Source organism: Homo sapiens, chromosome 13 (assembly GCF_000001405.40).
Source record: "Homo sapiens chromosome 13, GRCh38.p14 Primary Assembly".
Lineage (NCBI taxonomy): Eukaryota > Metazoa > Chordata > Mammalia > Primates > Hominidae > Homo > Homo sapiens.
The window spans coordinates 49,418,414-49,436,522 of record NC_000013.11 but is presented as its reverse complement, the minus strand read 5'-3'; the positions used below and the strand labels follow the sequence as shown (position 1 = coordinate 49,436,522).

The 18,109-nt window shown below is 37.5% G+C and overlaps 1 protein-coding gene across 9 annotated transcripts in view; it reads left to right on the top strand.

The window, feature by feature from the left end:
• Positions 1-18,109, top strand: part of CAB39L (calcium binding protein 39 like) — a 135,415-nt gene that overhangs the window by 7,542 nt on the left and 109,764 nt on the right. For 7 of the 9 annotated variants that reach the window (XM_047430698.1, XM_047430696.1, XM_047430697.1 and 4 more), the window contains exons 2-3: positions 2,300-2,437; positions 3,133-3,205. The gene's annotated coding sequence lies outside the window, so the exon portion shown is untranslated. Of the gene's footprint in view, positions 1-2,299; positions 2,438-3,129; positions 3,206-18,109 lie in introns of all 9 variants that reach the window. The other 2 variants (NM_001079670.3, NM_001287337.2) reach the window with 1 other exon arrangement.

Below are 18,109 nucleotides of genomic sequence, written 5' to 3'. Positions count from 1 at the left end.
AGGTACATAAGAAAAGATTGGACTGAATATAAGGAGCATTGAGAAAAGGTATGAAAACAACCAAGATAATGAAAATTAAATGAAGAAAGGTTAAAAAGTAATAGAAAGTGATTGATATAGAAAATAAGTAAAAGTAGAGTTCCTAAGAAGAAAAAAACAATAGCAAAGCTAATAGTTAAGTTTCAATCCATGAAAACATTCTGGAAATAAGAGATGACTCCAATCTACATGTTGAAAAGGCTCATTGTGTACTGGGAAAATTGATCCAGAATGGTCAGTTCCAAGTCATGTCCTAGTAAAACAGTTGGACTTTCAAAATGATGAAGAAAAATTCCTCTGGGCTTCCAGACAGAAAGGAGAGGTTAGCAACAGACTTCTAAACAGCAACATACAAAGCAAAACAGCCATGGAACAACATGTTTAAAGTCTACGAAAGTATAAGCCAAAGATTTTATAACTATGACTCATTCTTAAAGAAAAACCATGATAAATCCTACTATATTAATAAAAAAGTATTTAAATAGTGAAAAATGCCACGAGCAAAGTCAAAAGGCAAGCGACAAAGCGGGGAAAAATATTTGGACTTATATCACAAAGAGCTAACCTCCTGGATGAAAACACCTTCGTAAAATTCCAGGCAAGTAAGACCATCAACCCAGTAGGAAAATGGGCCAAAGATATGAAAAAGAAATGCACATGACAGACATATAAAAGATGTTCCAGACTGGGCGTGGTGGCTCACACCTATAACCCTAGCACTTTGGGAGGCCAAGGTGGGCAGATCGCTTGAGGTCAGGAGTTTGAGACCATCCTGGCCAACATGGTGAAACCCCACCTCTACTAAATATACAAAAATTAGCTGGGTGTAATGGTGAGCACCTATAATCCCAGCTACTGGGGAGGCTGAGGGAGGAGAATTGCTTGAACCTGGGAGGCGGAGGCTGCAGTGAGCCCAGATCATGCCGCTGCACTCCAGCCTGGGCAACACAGCAAGACTTCATCTCAAAAATAAAAGATGTTCCACCTTCAGTCATACAAAGAAAAATATAAATTAAAGCTATGTTAAAGCATTTTTCAACAAAATCCAAAAGTTATACAATAGGCCCTGTAGACTGTGGGGAAATAGGCACTTTGATACATTGCTGGTAAGGATACATAAGCATAAACTGCATGGGAGGGAATAGTCAAAGGGAGGTTAGTCATAGCAGCATATTACTTGCATTTGCAAAAGATTGGAAATAACTAAAATGCCCATTAATAGAGAACTGATTGCATAAACTAAGGTGCATCCAGACAGTACAACAGTCTGCAGGTAGATTGTGCCCCTTCCAAGTCACCGTCTTTCCATAGAGGTCATAAAAAAGAAGGGAGAAAGTCTCTATATACCAATAGAGAATGATCTGTAGAATACAATAGGAAGTGGAAAAAACAAAGGCATGGAAAAGTATGCAATGTATCCGCAGAAGGAAGGAGCAGGGTAAAGGTGCCAACAACAGAAGAGAGATTTCTCTAAATGGAAGTTGTTTCTATAGTTTTAACCCTAAATCATCATGTATGTCTACATATTCAAAAGTGGGATTAAATAAAAAAGTAGAATGAAAGAAAAATCTGAAAAGGAAATGAAACAAGTTTACACATCTATATCGCATTTTGGTGACATAACCACACACAAAAAGGAACAAATTCTAGTGGCTCTAGAACATAGATTTTGAAATGTACTTTCTTGGTGGGATATATTCAGTAGTAGTAGTAGTATTGATGTGCTGCTATTTTGAAGGCATTAAGTGTTGCAAAATGTTTTTATTTTTTATTTTTTTTAATTTTATTTTTGTAGAGACAAGGTGTCACCATATTGCTCAGGCTGGTCCCAAACTCCCAGGCCTAATCCTCCTGCCTCGGCCTCCCAAAGTGCTGGTATTACAGTGATGAGCCAGTACACCTGGCCTAAAATGTTGATAGTTGTTGGACAAAACCATAAAATTTATCAAGGCTATAACGTAAGAAAATTTAGTCTGGAAATTCGTTTGACTGAGTAAAGTGAAAATGAAGCATAAAATTACACAGGAAAGCTAACATAATAGAGTTTGTGTTATATGGTAGACACTTTGCTGACACTATATATATATGCTATATCATTTGTTTCTTGCAGCTGTACATTGAGACCCATCTTATTTTCCCACTAGGTTCAGAGAGATTAAAAATTTGCTTCAGATTAGCCAGTTACTAAGTAGAAGATTGAGATTTAAAACCAGATTGATGTGACTCCAAAGCCTGTGCTGTTTTTCCTACATTATTGCAGGATATCCATCAAATATTGAGAAGAAAGAATATCAGGAGCAAAGTGTTCTAAGTTGCTGTTCAGAACGTAAAGATGCGAACCCCAAATCAGTGGTTTGTTCATTCTTCATGCAAGAGCAATGCACTAAAGGAGAGAAGCGTAAGTTTTCTCTTATTTCTGATGGGGAAACAAGCACACGCATACACACTCTTGTGATGGAGATAGATTTTACAGAAATTGTCGCTGGTGACTGAAATTAGTAAAGGTGCGAACTAAAAGTGGTGGAGTAGAAAAGAAAAAATCTAGCAGGCATGGGTTTTCATGATGTTGTTAAAAGCAAGAAACCCTTCAAAGCTTCCCTTTATGACCCTTCAGTGCTCTTCTATGTTTTGTGCTAGGAAACAATAGAAATATGAAAGAGCTAAAATTTTACTGAACATCTAAGGGGAAGAAAGCATCCTTCAGTCAGGAAAGCCTTCCCACAGCCTTTTTGTAAACACTGACCTTTAAGATACTAGTTTAAATAAATTGTGTTTCTTCCTTTTGAAGATGGGGGCTGTTGGAGATTTCAGAGGTACTAGAGCGCCCTTTACCCAAACTAACGCTTTATGTTTCCACTGGTTTCCCTTGATGATAAATATATTTTTCATTCAGTTCAATACTACTGTTTGAAAGGTCTGCCACTTGAGTTATTGGGATATGAAAATTTACCTGTTTTAATTTGATGTATTAGTATTTGATTATGATGGAAATTTAATTTGTAATTCTGTATACCTGAAAGCAATAAGAAAATATGTTGGATTTACTATAAAGACTTTAAAAATTAATTTTAAAGCTTTTCTTTTTGTCAGAAGCTGTGGTGATCAGTGACTTTGGTGAAAGCTAAGAAGGTTCAAACAAATTTGCAAATGATATACAACTTCTAAGGTAAGCTAGTATGATGACTCAATCAAGATTTTAAGTGCTCTCGACAGACGTGTAGACTATGCTCAACATACCAAAATAAAATGTATCAGGAATAAATATAATATTGTATTTAAATGTTATAAAGCAGTTGCAGAAATAGTAGACTGATTTGTAGCAATATGATAGACTAGAGAGCCTGAATTCCTCCCTCCACCAAACATGTAAAGTACTAGATTCAGTATAAAAAATATCCTTTAACATGAATGGATGAGCCCATTAAGAAAATAAGGGAAACTTTCTGGGGCTAGAAACAAAACAAGTATAATATATCCTGTGAGATAAGCAGGTGCTGAAGTCATTGAATACTTTGGGGGCATCCATGGATTTCTGTTGGCATTGAAGCTTTGTGTAAGGAGCAGGATGAGGACTAGAGAAAAAGATCCCTGGGTCCCATATAAAGGTAAGAAGCCTGGTCAGAGACCATCTTGCAAAGATATTCAGTTCTGGGTAGACTTAAAATCTTCCCTAATAATTCTTGGTTATCAGCTCACATTCACTTGAATTTGGGGCCTTAATTTACACAATTTTTACAGTTTCTAAAACTCCACAAGTGGAGGATTTTAATTTAAATTGGACCTCAGTCTGTAATACTCTCAGGTACCTTGTAAGAACAATAAAAAAATCCTCCATGGAGGAATGTACGATCAATGCATTCATCAAATAATTGTAGTTAAAATTCTAACAAATAAGCTCATACACATTTTTTAAAATTACAAAATGTAACAAGGGAGAAAACATCAAAACACCAAGAGCAAGAGTCAGCAGAAACAGCAAACAACTGAAAGAGATCTATAGAGATTTCGATTATTAGAAATATACATTACATGAAATAAATATGTTTATGGCCAGTTGCAGTAGCTCACACTTATAATCTCAGCACTTTGGGAGACTGAGGCAAGAGGATCGCTTGAGCCCGGGAGTTCAAGACCAGCCTGGGCAATATAGTGAAACCCTGTCTCTACAATAAATAGAATTAGCTGGGTATGGTGGTGCGTACCTCAGGAGGCTGAGGTGGGAGGATTGCTGGAGCCTGGGGGTCAAGGCTGCAGTGAGCCATGGTCACACCACTGCACTCCAGCCTGGGCAACAGATCAAGAGCTTGTATGTATGTCTAAATATGTATATATGTACATAGTTTAATATGTTCAATAAATAAAATAGGGATTATAAAATAAATAAAGAGTAAGGGGCTATAAAGTGACCAGGTACATTAAAAAAAGAATTGGCAAGAAATAAATACTCGTTTTTTTGTTCTGCTTTTACTCAGCTTAGTTATTCTGAGATTTATCTGTATTGTCTGTAATGTATATTAATAGTTTATTCCTTTTTATTGCCAAGTAGTATGTCACTTTATGAATATACCACAATTTGTTTATCTGTGCTGTGTAGATGGAGATGAATTGTTTCTAATTTTTAGCTAATACAGATAAAGATACTATGAATATTCATGTATAAGTTTTTATATGGACATATGCATTCTTTTCTTTTGAGTGAATTCCTGGGAATGGAATGGTAGGTAGATTTTTTTTACTTTTTGTTTTTTATTTTATTTTTTGTTTTTTATTTTTTTTTAAGACAGAGTCTCACTCTGTTGTCCAGGCTGGAGTGCAGTGGTGCAATCTTGGCTCACTGCAGCCTCCACCTCCCAGGTTCAAGCAATTCTCCTGCCACAGCCTCATAAGTAGCTGGGATTACAGGAGTGTGCCACCAAGCCCAGGTAATTTTTTAATTTTTAGTAGCAATGGGGTTTCACCATGGTGGCCAGGCTGGTCTGGAACTCCTGACCTCAAGTGATCCACCCGCCTTGACCTCCCAAAGTGCTGGGATTACAGACGTGAGCCACCACGCCCAGCCTTTTTTTATTTTTTAAGAAGCTGCTAAAACCGTTTTCCAAAGTAGTTATTAACAGGTAATTGAATAACAAAATTGTGGTATATCTATACAATGGAATACTCCTCAGCAATATTTGTAACAAAGTGGATGAACCCCAGAACAATTACGCTATGTGAAAGAAGCCAGACAAAAAAGAATATATTACACTTATTAAAAGTTCTGAAAAATATAAGTGCTGTATTGCAATGGAAGCATATCAAATGCAGAGGAGACAACAAGGAAAGGGAGGAAAGGAATTCAAAGGGACAGGAAAGATTTAGGAGGTTCACTATCTTGATGTGATGATGGTTTCACAGGTAAATACACATATGTCCAAACTTTTTGAGTTGTACGCTTTAAATATGTGCAGCTTATTGTTAATTATTTCTTAACAGAACACTTTTTAAAGAAACAAAGCCAGAAAATAGAAACAGTGAATAGAGGAACATGTCTTGATAATAATTCATGTGAAAGGCTTGCAGATTGAGTTTCTATTTGGATTATATGACTATTAAGCCTTTCAGTGCAATTCTATGAAAATAGGAAGAGAACAGGTATGACACTTGCGGTATTAACAGGAATTACGAATTAGGCTTCAAAGATTTGATAACATCAGCAAAGATAGCCTTAGGCAGCCATGTCGATACCAGTCTCACCTCCAGATCAGAAACATCCAGACCCTGAGACCAGACAACTCACCTAGAGTGTACTTGAGAAAAAGTTTAGTCTCTAGGATAAAATAAGAAATAACTAAAATCATTAACTTCCTAAATAAAGGAGAGTGGGAGTACCACATAACAAGCACAGGAAGCTAAAAAACTCTTGAAAATGATTGGTGAAAAAAGAAATGTATAGTTAGTAGGAAGAATTAATTGAAAAAGGAGAAAAACCCAGTAACTTTTTTCCCTGCCCTATACGCCAGTGGCTGACCAGTGCCCCTTCTGAATGACCCATTTGTCTTCTAAAATAGATAATGTTAGAGCACTTTCAATTAGGTTATAGCCACCTTGTGTGGGTCTGGGAGCTGTTTTGTCTCTTTTAGGTAATGTTTACGTATGCCTTACTGATTTCCTATGGCAAATTTTATAGTTAAATTCACAGCATTTATATTATTTATAGTAGTTCCACATTATTTGGGTTATCTTAATCCGCCCAACTATCTATAGCAGTTAGCAGCATGCAAAAGGGCATCTTTAGTTAAGTGCAATTTTTGAATTGTGCAACTAAATTTAAATTGAATATCATAGATCAAAATAAACCCCAGGCTGATTAAAAGGAGAATAAGTATTATAGCTGGTAGCATGTTTATCAACTTTTTGGACAGCTAGTAACTTTTCCATTTTGGAGTGAAAAAACAAAACAAAACACTGAAGAGCATTTTATAGAATAGAATTATTATATAACTTTTTTTGTACAAATGAATGTTGGTTAAACCAAAATAAAAAAGGTAACATTAGAAGAAATATTTGAACCAAATAACAAAGCATGTTTATGAGAAATAACTTATTAAATTTTATAAGAAAAATCTCAAGACTATAGTAAATGAAATACAGATATGAATTTATAGTTCTCATAAGAACAAAGTGAAAAACACAAAAAGGAGTGTTCAATCCCACAAGTAATCAAATAAATGCAAATTAAAACTATAAGAGAACATTTTATTTCATTCTAAATAAGCAAGAATTCAACGAGGTACTTGGGGATGGTGAGGTTTTGGTGAACCTCATGGTATACTCATGCTGGTAGCATCTTTAGTTAACTAAACTATATTAAATTGCTTTTAGAAATCAGCATATAGCAAGGTTCTAAAAAATGTATGTATGTTTTGACCCAGTCAGCCAATTTGTGGTATTTTTTCCTAATAAAATAAACTAAGTAAGGAGGGAAAAATAATGCATGAAAATATTTTGATAGGATTGACTATGAGAGTGACAAATGGGAAATAACCTAATGTCAGTGATAGAGGGTTAAGCAAATTACTGTAGTATTAGTGTTGTCAAAAATGATAATTTTTTGCTGGGTGCAGTGACTCATGCCTGTAATTTCAGCTATTTGAGAGGCTGAGGCAGGAGGACCGCTTGAGGTCAGGAATTCAAGAGCAGCTTGGGCAACATAATAAGACCTCATCTCTAAAAAAATTTTAAAAATTAGCCAGTATGGTGGCATGCCTGTAGGGCCAGCTACTAGGAAGGTTGAAGCAGGAGCATCACTCTAGTCTGGGAGTTGAAGGCTGCAGTGAGCTATGGTCATACCATTGATTCATGTTTCTTATCTGTAAAGTGGGGCTAACATAATAATATTTGCTTTAGTTTTCTTTCAAGGCTATTGTAAAGAATACATATGAACAGTCTGGATATTATAAAATGCTATATAATTATAGTGAGGAATATTAATTTAGCATTTTTTGTTTACATTTATATCAACTTAAAAACAAATTTTCAGACATCTTTGAAGTAAACCATTTAATTTCTGGAATTTAGAAATATATATTCAAAATATGTGATTGTAATCATTGACTTGTTTATCTTTGCTATGCTTTTTACTTAACTTTTGTGGTAGACCGTTGTCTATGCAAAAGTCATACCAACCTCCTACTTTCCTGCTTTCTTTTTATGATTGAGGCAAAAAATGCCACATACTTATTTTTCTAGGCTCCTTGGCACTTAGTGGGTAACTGTTTTATTCTCTTCAGGCCAAAGAGATATAGAAGTTTATTGGAGAGCTCCCTGAACAATATTTTCCCCCTAAGAAAAGAGAAGTTATGTGAAGAAGTTCCCCCTTTCCCTCCCTGTTTCTTTCCTTCCTTATTTGGGTGTTGTAAATGAGACTCTGCCTGGAATTGCCAAGCCACTGCAGCAGCCAGCCTCCAAGATGGCCCCCACCACCTGCTGGTATTTGCGCCCTGTGGATTCATTCTTCTTCCATACTGTGCCAAGACTGGTCTGTGTGACCAATAAAAAACAGCAGAATGTTAATTTTAAGATTAGATTATTAAAGACATTGCAGTTTCCATCTTTATCACGCTTTTGCTGATCACTTGCTCTGGGAGAAGCTAGTCAAGTGAGCATCCCTATGGAGAGGCCCAAACAGCAAAGAACCAAAGCCTCTAGCCAGTAGCCAGTAGTCCTTCCAGCTCCAGTCAAACTTCATGATGATTGCATTCCTGCCTGAGGCTGACATTTGAGTCAGAACCATTGAGCTAACTACTCCTGGATTCCTGACTCTCAGAAACTATGTGAAATAATAGATCTTAAGCTATGTGTTTTAAGCTTACAAGTTTTGGATAATTGTTACACAGTAGACAACTAATTTGATACTGGCACTAGAGGTTGATTGATGCAGTAGACTGATTGTGTCCCCACAAAATTCCTATGTTGAAACTTAATCCCTAATGAGATGGTATTTGGACATGGGGCCTTTAGGAGGTGATCAAGTCATTAGGGTGTAGCTGTCATGAATAAGATTAGTGTCCTTGTAAGAGTCCTGAGAGAGCTTGTTTCGCCTTCCACTATGTGAGGATACAGCGAAAAGATGGCCATCTGTGAACCAGGAAGTGGGCCCTCACTGGACCCTGAATCTGCTGACACCTTCATCTTGGGCTTCCCAACCTCCTGAACTGTGAGAAATAAATTTATATTGTTTATAAGCCACCCATCTATGTTATTCTGATATAGCAGTTCAAATGAAGTAAGATAAGTGATGTCAACAATTTTTTTTTGAGCTAGGGTCTTGCTCTGTTGCCCAGGCTGGAGTGCAGTGATGCTATCACAGCTCACTGCAGACTTGACCTCCTGGGCTAAAGCAGTCTTCCCATATCAGTCTCCCAAGTAGCTGGGATTACAAGTGTGCACCACCACGCCCAGCTAATTCTTTTATTTCTTGTAGAGATATGGTCTTACTGTGTTGCCCAGGGTGGTCTCAAACTCCTAGGCTTAAGTGATCCTCCTGCTTGGCCTCCCAAAGTGCTGGGATTGCTTTGGGAACAATCCCATATGAGCCATGGTGCCCAGCAACAAATATTTTAAGTGGGCATGGCTTTGGAACTTCGTAGTGGATGAAAGGTGAATGGACATTGAAGACACTGTCAGTGTAAATCTAAAGTATCTTGGAGAAACTGTAGACTCATGTTTTTTTGGTGAGGTTGCCAGGAAGGGCTTAAAGGAAAATGGGAGAATCTTTTTAGAAACTGGAGGAAAGGGGATCCTTCTAATATAGTAGCATAAGCTTTATAATGCAACACTGTCACCTGTAGTAATGTAGAAACTAGAATGCACATAATGAACTGAGTACCGTAGCTAAGAAGATTTCCAACTAGACTTGAAGGTGCCACCTGGTTTGTGCCTAAAGAGTGACAGGAGCAAGTATGCTAAAGAAAGGATTGATAAACCTGAAGGTGCTGAGACTTGATAGTTTTGACCATGTCAGCCTCTCCAAACAGTAAATGATGCTAAATTAAGAAATGGCTTCTTCTAAGTGAAAGGGAGAAATAATAATTTTCCTCAACCTTCATAAGTTCGTAGTTGGGACAGACTCCTGCAGCAAAAAACAGATGAACAAGAGAGAAACAAACACGTATAGTAATGCTGCAGTGCAGTTCACATGAGAGAAAAGTAACTCAAGAGTGGCTTAGAGTGGTTTAGAATCCCAGCTCATAGAAAATCTTCAATAAAGAGCAATAAATTGGCTGGGCGCGGTGGCTCACTCCTGTAATCCCACCACTTTGGGAGGCCGAGGCAGGCAGATCACGAGGTCAGGGGAACGAGACCATCCTGGCTAACACGGTGAAACCCCGTCTCTACTAAAAATATAAAAATTAGCCGGGTGTGGTGGCAGGCGCCTGTAGTCCCAGCTACTCAGGATGCTGAGGCAGGAGAATGGCTTGAACCCGGGAGGCGGAGCTTGCAGTGAGCTGAGATCATGCCACTGCACTCCAGCCTGGACAACACAGCGAGACTCCGTCTCAAAAAAAAAAATATTTTAAAGAAGCATATTTTAGGGTGAAATATTCTGGTTTCCTTCTTGAACAAGGATCAGATAGATCCAAGGCATTGTCAGGAAAACTAAGGACAAAGTTGAGAGTGTGGCTGTAAAATCCTTTGTTAAAATTTAAGAAAGATCTAAGTTTCTGCCTCAGAGTACTTTTCAGTCACATAAAAGGGCCTCTAAAGAAAGACTAATGGTGTGACTGACCAATCCATTCAATCAAACAATAGCGCGTCCAAGAAACTTAAGGGGATGGTCCTTATCCTGCAGCCATTTCAGCAGAATCTCAAGGTAGAGGAGGGCTTATCTGAAAAAGATTTGTGCGTGTGGCTTTTGTTTAATGCAAAGAACCCCAGTGAGATTCCTAGGACCCCCACAAAGCTTTAAGAGGAATGTATTTTAAGGATCACTACTAGTTTGGATTAAAGGGGTCAGAGAGTACAAAATGAAAAGATGCCTTTGGACCCCCAAACTTCTACAAGTAGGAAGCATGATGAGAAAACTGCTTAGCAGAAAGCAAGTGCTACCTTTCATTAAAAAGAAAGAGTGTCTCAGAGGGCTGAACCTGGAAGATGGATCCCAGAGCCATGGAGAATCATTTCCCGATGGAAATAGGACTGAGTCTTAACGAATTTCCAGATTTCCAACATTTCCCTCTGTATTTTAGTAACCTGATTCTATGTACTTTGCATTTCCCTCCTTTTTTGAAAAGGATTGTCTGTAATGACTATCTCAACCTCACTAAAAATTGTGTGGGTCAGTGAATTAACTTGCTTCTTTAGCCCAGGGGTTGGCAAACCTTTTCTGTAAAAAGCCAAATAGTAAATATTTTTAGCTTTGTGCCTGTTTTTGCATAGTTTACCAAATAATTTTGCTACCAGAGCTATGCATTTTGCTATGTCTTGATTCATTTATTGTATTCCTACTTGGAAATTATTCCCTTGGCAATGCACAACTGAACTTTTATACTCATCTCTATATACGTGTGTATAGACATATGTATTTTTCTACATATGCCTATATTTTTGTATATGGATATTTTGGGTAGCAAGCTTTGTAATGATTTCTCCTAGTCTGTTACATTTATTCCTATAATTTTTGTTTTATTGATTGCATAAAAAGTTTTTATTTTTCATGTAAAAATAAAAGTTTTCAATATTGAAATTGTCTTTTTCTTCAGGACTCAAATTTTTCTTCTAAGGTAAAGTAAAAAAATGTTCTCCTGTTTAGTTATTTTTTGACTTTTCTTAGGTTTACTTTTTTAACCTCCTGAAATATATTACCATGTGCATTGTGAAATATTAATTCAGATTCATTCTTTTCTAAACTGACATCCTATTTCATTATTTATTTAATTGGAATTGCTTTGTGCTTGTTACATTTTAAATTAGTTTTACTACTGAAAAGTTTTTGGCCGTGTTTTCTGCTTAATGCATTCTTGTGGATTTTGTCAATCGTAGCTTTATAATGGTGTAATTCTGGTGAAATGAACTCAGTACCATTAACTTAAAAATATATAATTTGATATTCCCATCCTCTCATTATAAAATATACATTAAACTTATTTAGAAATTCCTGTCAGGAGCAAATCTCCATATACTTATTTATTCCATAATATATTCATGTATTCCTTTATTTTCCATCATTGGAATTTTTTGACTTTTAAAAACTAAATTAGTGTTCTGAGAAGTTAATTCTCAAGTTTTAAAATAAGTTTTATTTCTTAAAACCATTCTAGATTTACAGAAAAATTGCGAAGATGGTGCAGAGGGTTCCCATATATCCTACAACCAGTTTATTAACTGTTACATATTAACATGTTACAATTAATGAACTAATACTGATACATTTTTACATTATCATTAATTAGAGTCCATACTTTGTTCAAATTGTCTTGGTTTTTACCTAATGAGCCTTTTCTGTTCCAGGATGCCACGTTACATGTAGTCATCATGTCTCCTTAGGCTCCTTTTGGCTGTGACAGTTTTTCAGACGTTCCTTGTTTTTTATGACCTTCACAGTGTTCAGAAGTGTTGGTTAAGTGCTTTGTAAAAGTGTTCCTCAATTTGAACTTGTCTGATGTTTTTCTCTTTATTAGACTGGGGTTACGAGTTTTGAGGAAGATCGCAGAAGCGCAGTGCCATTTTCATCACATACTGTCAATGTGACTTATCACTGTTGATGTTGACCTTGATCACTAGGGTGAGGTAGTGTTGGTGAGGTTTCTCCACAGTCAGGTTTCCATTACCCCTCTTTTCATGCTGCTCTCTGGAAAGAAGTCACGATCTATAACTTACACTCAGGGAGTGGGGAGTTATGTTCCACCTGCTAATTACTTGGAATTCTTCTGCACAGGAGATTGTCTCTTCTCTCCCGTTTATTTATTATTCAATAGCTTATGTCAGTATGGACTTGTTATTCTATTTTTAGAGATTTTTATTGTTAATAGAGTGAAGTTGCTCCCTTTTTCTTTCCTGTCACCAAAGAATAAGAATGCCATTGAAGTTATAACTTAGAAATTTGCCGAACAGATTTTTCTGTGTTTGTCATTTTAGTTAAATTCCTTAACTTTTCTAGGTCTACAATTACTTTTTGTTCTGTTTCACCTTATAGATGATGAGCTCTTTAGCAGTTAATGCTTATTTATGTTTGTGTTCTCCATGTGTTGTACCTGGTATATAGTTCTTGTTCAATAAATGTTGAATAAATGCATTAATAAGGTTGTCGTGTATGGGAAGAGAGTTGCTTACTTGTTTTTATTTTCTGGTTTTTATGAACTTTTACCTTTACAGCAACTTAGGGTCTGACTTCCCTTTCTCTCCTACTAATTTTTACTCTTTTTTTAAAAAATGATTTATTTTATTTTTTGTAGGGATGGGAGTGTTTCTCTGTTGCCCAGGCTGCTCTGGAACTCCTGGCCTCAAGTGATCCTCCCACCTTGGCCTCCCAAAGTGTTGGGATTATAGATGTGAGCCACTGTCCCTGGCCTCTAATTCTTACTCTTAATTCAGAATTAGGTACAGCTGTTCTGCTTGCTTCACTAGAGTTAGGCTTCCAGTAGCTGACCTTTATTATTATATTTTGTGATCTGCACAGGCATCATCTCTTTAAGGCAGTGGTTCTCAAAATGTGGTCATTGGACCAGCAGAATCAACGTCCCCTGGGGACTTGTTTGATATGCCAATTCTCACCTGCCCTAGATTTATTTAATCTGAAATTCTGCGGAAAGGACCCAGTAATCTGTTTCACCTGCCGTCCAGGTGATCCTGATGATACTAATGATAGAGCATCAATGATCTATGGTATAGTCCTTCATGAGTAGCACAGCTGTTTCTTCCTCTTTTTATCCTCACCCAAGCTGTATCACATTTCTGCATTAGGTCTGTGGATTTTGTTTTTTCCTAGTTTTTACGTATAACTTGGAAAAAATTCTGTACACTGAGAATGTAAAAATAACATTTTCTAGTGTTCTTAAAAATGACCTAGTATCATCTCATTCATAAATTATTTTGGTGAGTCTTTCCAGTATATTTTTTAATACTTAAAGATTGACTTTTAAAATGCTTTTGGTCTTGTAAGAATTGCACGGTAACTAATATTAGAGAATAATAAATTTGAGAAGTGCAAGGAATTCATTCCGGTTGCTTCTAATCAACGGTAAGTTTAAGAAATAAAAAAGTAAGGGAAGCCGGGTGCATTTATAGTCCCAGCTATTCAGGAGGCTGAGGTGGGAGGATCACTGAACCTGGGAGTTTGAGACCAGCCTGGGGGACATAGTGAGACTCATCCCTCAAAAAAAAAAAAAATTAAGGGAGAAATACACTTTAAAATTATATTTATTTATTTATTTTGAGACAGAGTCTCGCTCTGTCTCCCAGGCTGGAGTGCAGTGGCACAATCTCAGCTCACTGTAACCTCCACCTCCCAGTTCAAGCCATTCTTCTGCCTCAGCCTCCTGAGTAGCTGGGAAGACAGGCTAATGCCATTATGCCCAACTAACTTTTTGTATTTTTAGTAGAAATAAGGTTTTGCCATGTTGGCCAGGCTGGTCTTGAACTCCTAGCCTCAAGTGATCCACTCACCTGGGCCTCCCAAAGTGCTGGGATTATAGGTGTGAGCCACCACGCCCGGCCAGAAATAAATTTTTAAATGCCGACTTTTCCTTGGGCTAAAATTCCTTGGAAATACTTAACTCTTTCCTTTATCACAAAGTTTATAATTTATAAATTAGTAAAGGCTTTTACTGTATAAGTGCAATGTCAGTGGAGTGTTAATCTGAAGGGCCAGAAGATTTTGAGAGGAAAAGAAAATTGTTGCACAGTCAAGCTGTTTCATCTCAGTGTTGACATCTTTTGATTGTCTTTAATCATTCAGTTTGAGATCTTTATTGGTTCTTGGTATAAGTTATCCCTCTCTCCCCGCCCCCATCAAACAAATGGTATATCTCTTTGTGATTAAATAAGTGATTTTTGACTGAAACTTGGACATTTGTGTATTATTATTATTTTTTGTGTGTATTATGTTATAAGACTCTGGGTCTTACTTAAATCTGTGTTTTAGCAGGCACCCTCCAACACTACTGCTGGGGGTAGACAGGGTTGCCTCATTACCACCAGAGGGGCTTGGTTCTCTCCCTGTTCTCAGTTGACCACCTAGGGGAGGGGGTTTGCTTGTTACTGCTGGGTAGAGGAGGAGGTTCAGGCTCTCCACTAGGCCTCCACTGGTACCCCTCTCATTAGGAGGTAGAGGAGTGCCTTATTACTGCTCTCTGATGGACCTCCACTGACACCATGTGGAGGGGAGGCCTTGGTACTGCTAAGTGGTGGTGAAAGTCCAGCACTCAACAAGTCTCCTCTGGCACCACTCCTGCAGTCGGGGGAGGAGCACCTTGTGACTGATGCGTGGGCTGCAAGTCCAGGCTCCTAAAGTGGTCTCCACTAGCGCAGATGGGAAGGGGGATATTAGATCATGCTCAAGGGGGATGAATGTCCCAACTTTCCCCTTGTTCCCCATTTAGGGAAAGAGCTTGGGGTGCCTCCTCTTACAGCCAGACAGGGATGGAAGTCTAGGCTTTCCACTTGGTTTTTGCTGGTGGGGGTCGGGTGGAGTTTCACTTTTTTCTGTGGTGTTTGTCTGGAGTTATTTATTGCCTTTAAGTTTTCTGTCTTGCTGCCCCTTTCATGTTCCTTTGGCTAGAGAAAGCAGTCTTTTTCCAGGGGCGGGCAGAGAGGGGAGGCAGTTTCTTTGCACTTGGTGTTCCTGGGTTGCTGGCTTCACCAGTATCCAGAGTGGGATATAGAAAGCAAAAATAAGAAAATTCAGGATATCATTACCATGTTTTCTCCTGGGTCCTGAGGTCCCTAGCCAGTTTGTCGTCTCTCCACCTTTCAGAATCCTTTTGGTTTTAGTTGAAATATAATGTACAGATATTTTGCTCACTAGTTCAGATCTTATTCTTTGCCCTTAGATATGATTATTATTTTTTTCTTCATGCAGATGTGTTCTTCGCTTGCTAAATTTATTTCTAAGTCCCTTAGAATTTACTGTTATATTAAATGTAATAATTTTTTTTCTGCTTTGTAGTTCTACTTACTGATTCTTGACCTTATATGCAGCTATCTTTCAAATTCTCGTAATTCCAACAGTAATACTGATGCTTAGCATTTCTAATAAAGTTAGAATAATGGGTGTTCTAGAATTCTAGGATACATTAATTCTATCTCAATAAAGCAAACACATTTTATATAATAAACATAATGTACATGGCTTTTGGTTTTACTTAGAAGAATAAAGAAAAATATGTCTACCCAGAAGCCCCTACTTGCATTTTATTGTCCAGGACTAAGTCACACTGACTCCTTTAGCTGACATTCCAGCTACTTGGGAAGCTGAGGCGACAGCCTGGAAAATTGAGCTTTTATACTGTTTGGCAAAGTGATGAAATAAACAGCGTTTTGTTAGGGAAGAAGTGGAGAACAGATATTGGAAGGCAATTAGCTGTCTCTAATACATTGATAAAATATATAACTATAACTGCAAAATGCTAATAACCCAGCAGAGGAGTAGATTTGGGAACATAAGATGAAAAAGTCAACAAGGTGAGGATAAATGAAGTTGTATCATTAAAGTATATTTATGCATTATTTTTCAGAACTGAATTTACTTACATAGAGAAATATGGCAAGACAAATCTATATGTTAGCCTACTTGTCAGTTCATTGGGGCCTCCTTTTTTTCTTGACAGTGCTGTAGAAATATTAATAAAATCTTGTACATTAAAGAATATTAAAATAATTGTCCTTTCACAGATATCTAAATGGATGTCTGCAACTTCCTTAAACTTGTCATCCTCTAATCTAAAGTTAATGCGTTTAATATAATATTTCTTATTTTATGATGGCTGTGATTGAATAATGTGTTTAAAACCTGGACAAATTGAAACATAGAATGAATTTAATTAATCCTATTTACTGTTTATTGATTCTTTTGACTTAAGTACTGGGATTGCTGATCTTGGCCCTGGATTTTAGAGATAGCTTGCTCTTTTGCAACTGTGGCATTCTTCTATATGATATGGAATAAAAGAAGGAAAAAAAGTAGTTTGAGCTCTTTGTTCAGATTTGGCGGGGTGGGGAGGGGAAGGTCATAAAATCCCGGTTAAAGTTTTCTAGATCCACCATCTCTTGCAAAATATGAACCAAATAGATTAAAATAATAAAGTTTGGGGTTTTTGTTGTTGTTGTTTTGCCAATTGACAGTACTGAAGCTGAATTTGAAAACTGTGATTCAAGCACTGGAAATTTTACATTTTGAATTTCATTTCTTCTTCTTCCTATTTTTTGAGACAGGGTTTCTTTTCTCTCTGTTGCCCAGGCTGCAGTGCAGTGGTATGATCTTGACTCACTGCAGCCTTGACCTCCCGGGCTCAAGCAGTCCGCCCACCTCAGTCCTCTGAGCAGCTGGGACTACAGGCATATGCCACCACATGTGGCTAATTTTTGTATTTTTTTGAGAGACAGGGTTTTGCCATGTTGCTCAGGCTGGAATTTCATATTTTTTAGTGGAATAGAACTTTATGATTCAAAGGAGGAAAATAAGCTTTTGAAGAACTTTTGAAAGACTTGATATTTATCGAATAGTTCTTTGAAAATATTTTGATGACTAAGGGTGGTTCACGCCTGTAATCCCAGCACTTTGGGAGGCCGAGGCGGGTGGATCACTTGAGGTCAGGAGTTCGAGACCAGCCTGGCTAACATGGTGAAACTGCGTCTCTACTAAAAATACAAAAATTAGCCAGGCATGGTGGCATGCACCTGTAATCACAGCTACTCAGGAAGATGAGGCAAGAGAATCACTTGAACCTGGGAGGGAGAGGTGGCAGTGAGCCGAGATCGCACCACTGCACCCAGCATGGGCAACAGAGTGAGACTCCATCTCAAAAAACAAAACATTTTGATGAATAAAATGTAAATTAATTAAAAACATAAGGTTCTTTTCAAATATACATGAGGTGAAAGAGTAAAAAGCACATGGCAAAATGATGCTTTTAAAATATGTTTGCTTGGCTGGGCGTGGTGGCTCATGTCTGTAATTCCAGCACTTTAGGAGGTCTAGGTGAGTAGATCACTTGAGGTCAGGAGTTTGAGACCAGCCTGGCCAACATGGTGAAACCCCGGGCTGTACTAAAACTACAATTAGCCGGGCATGGTTGCACATGCCTGTAATCCCAGCTACTCAGGAGGCAGAAGAATCGCTTGAACCTAGGAGGGGAAGGTTGCAGTGAGTTGAGATCATGCCACTGCACTTTAGCCTGGGTGACAAGAGCGAGACTGTGTCTCAAAAAAATAAATAAACAAAATGTGTTTGCTTTATTGAGATAGAATTAATGTATCCTAGAATTCTAGAACACCCATTGAAGTGTACAAGTCAGTAGTTTTTAGTATGTTCACAGAGTTGTGTAACTATCCTCACAATTATTTTAGAACCCTTTCATCTTCCTGCAAAGCAGCT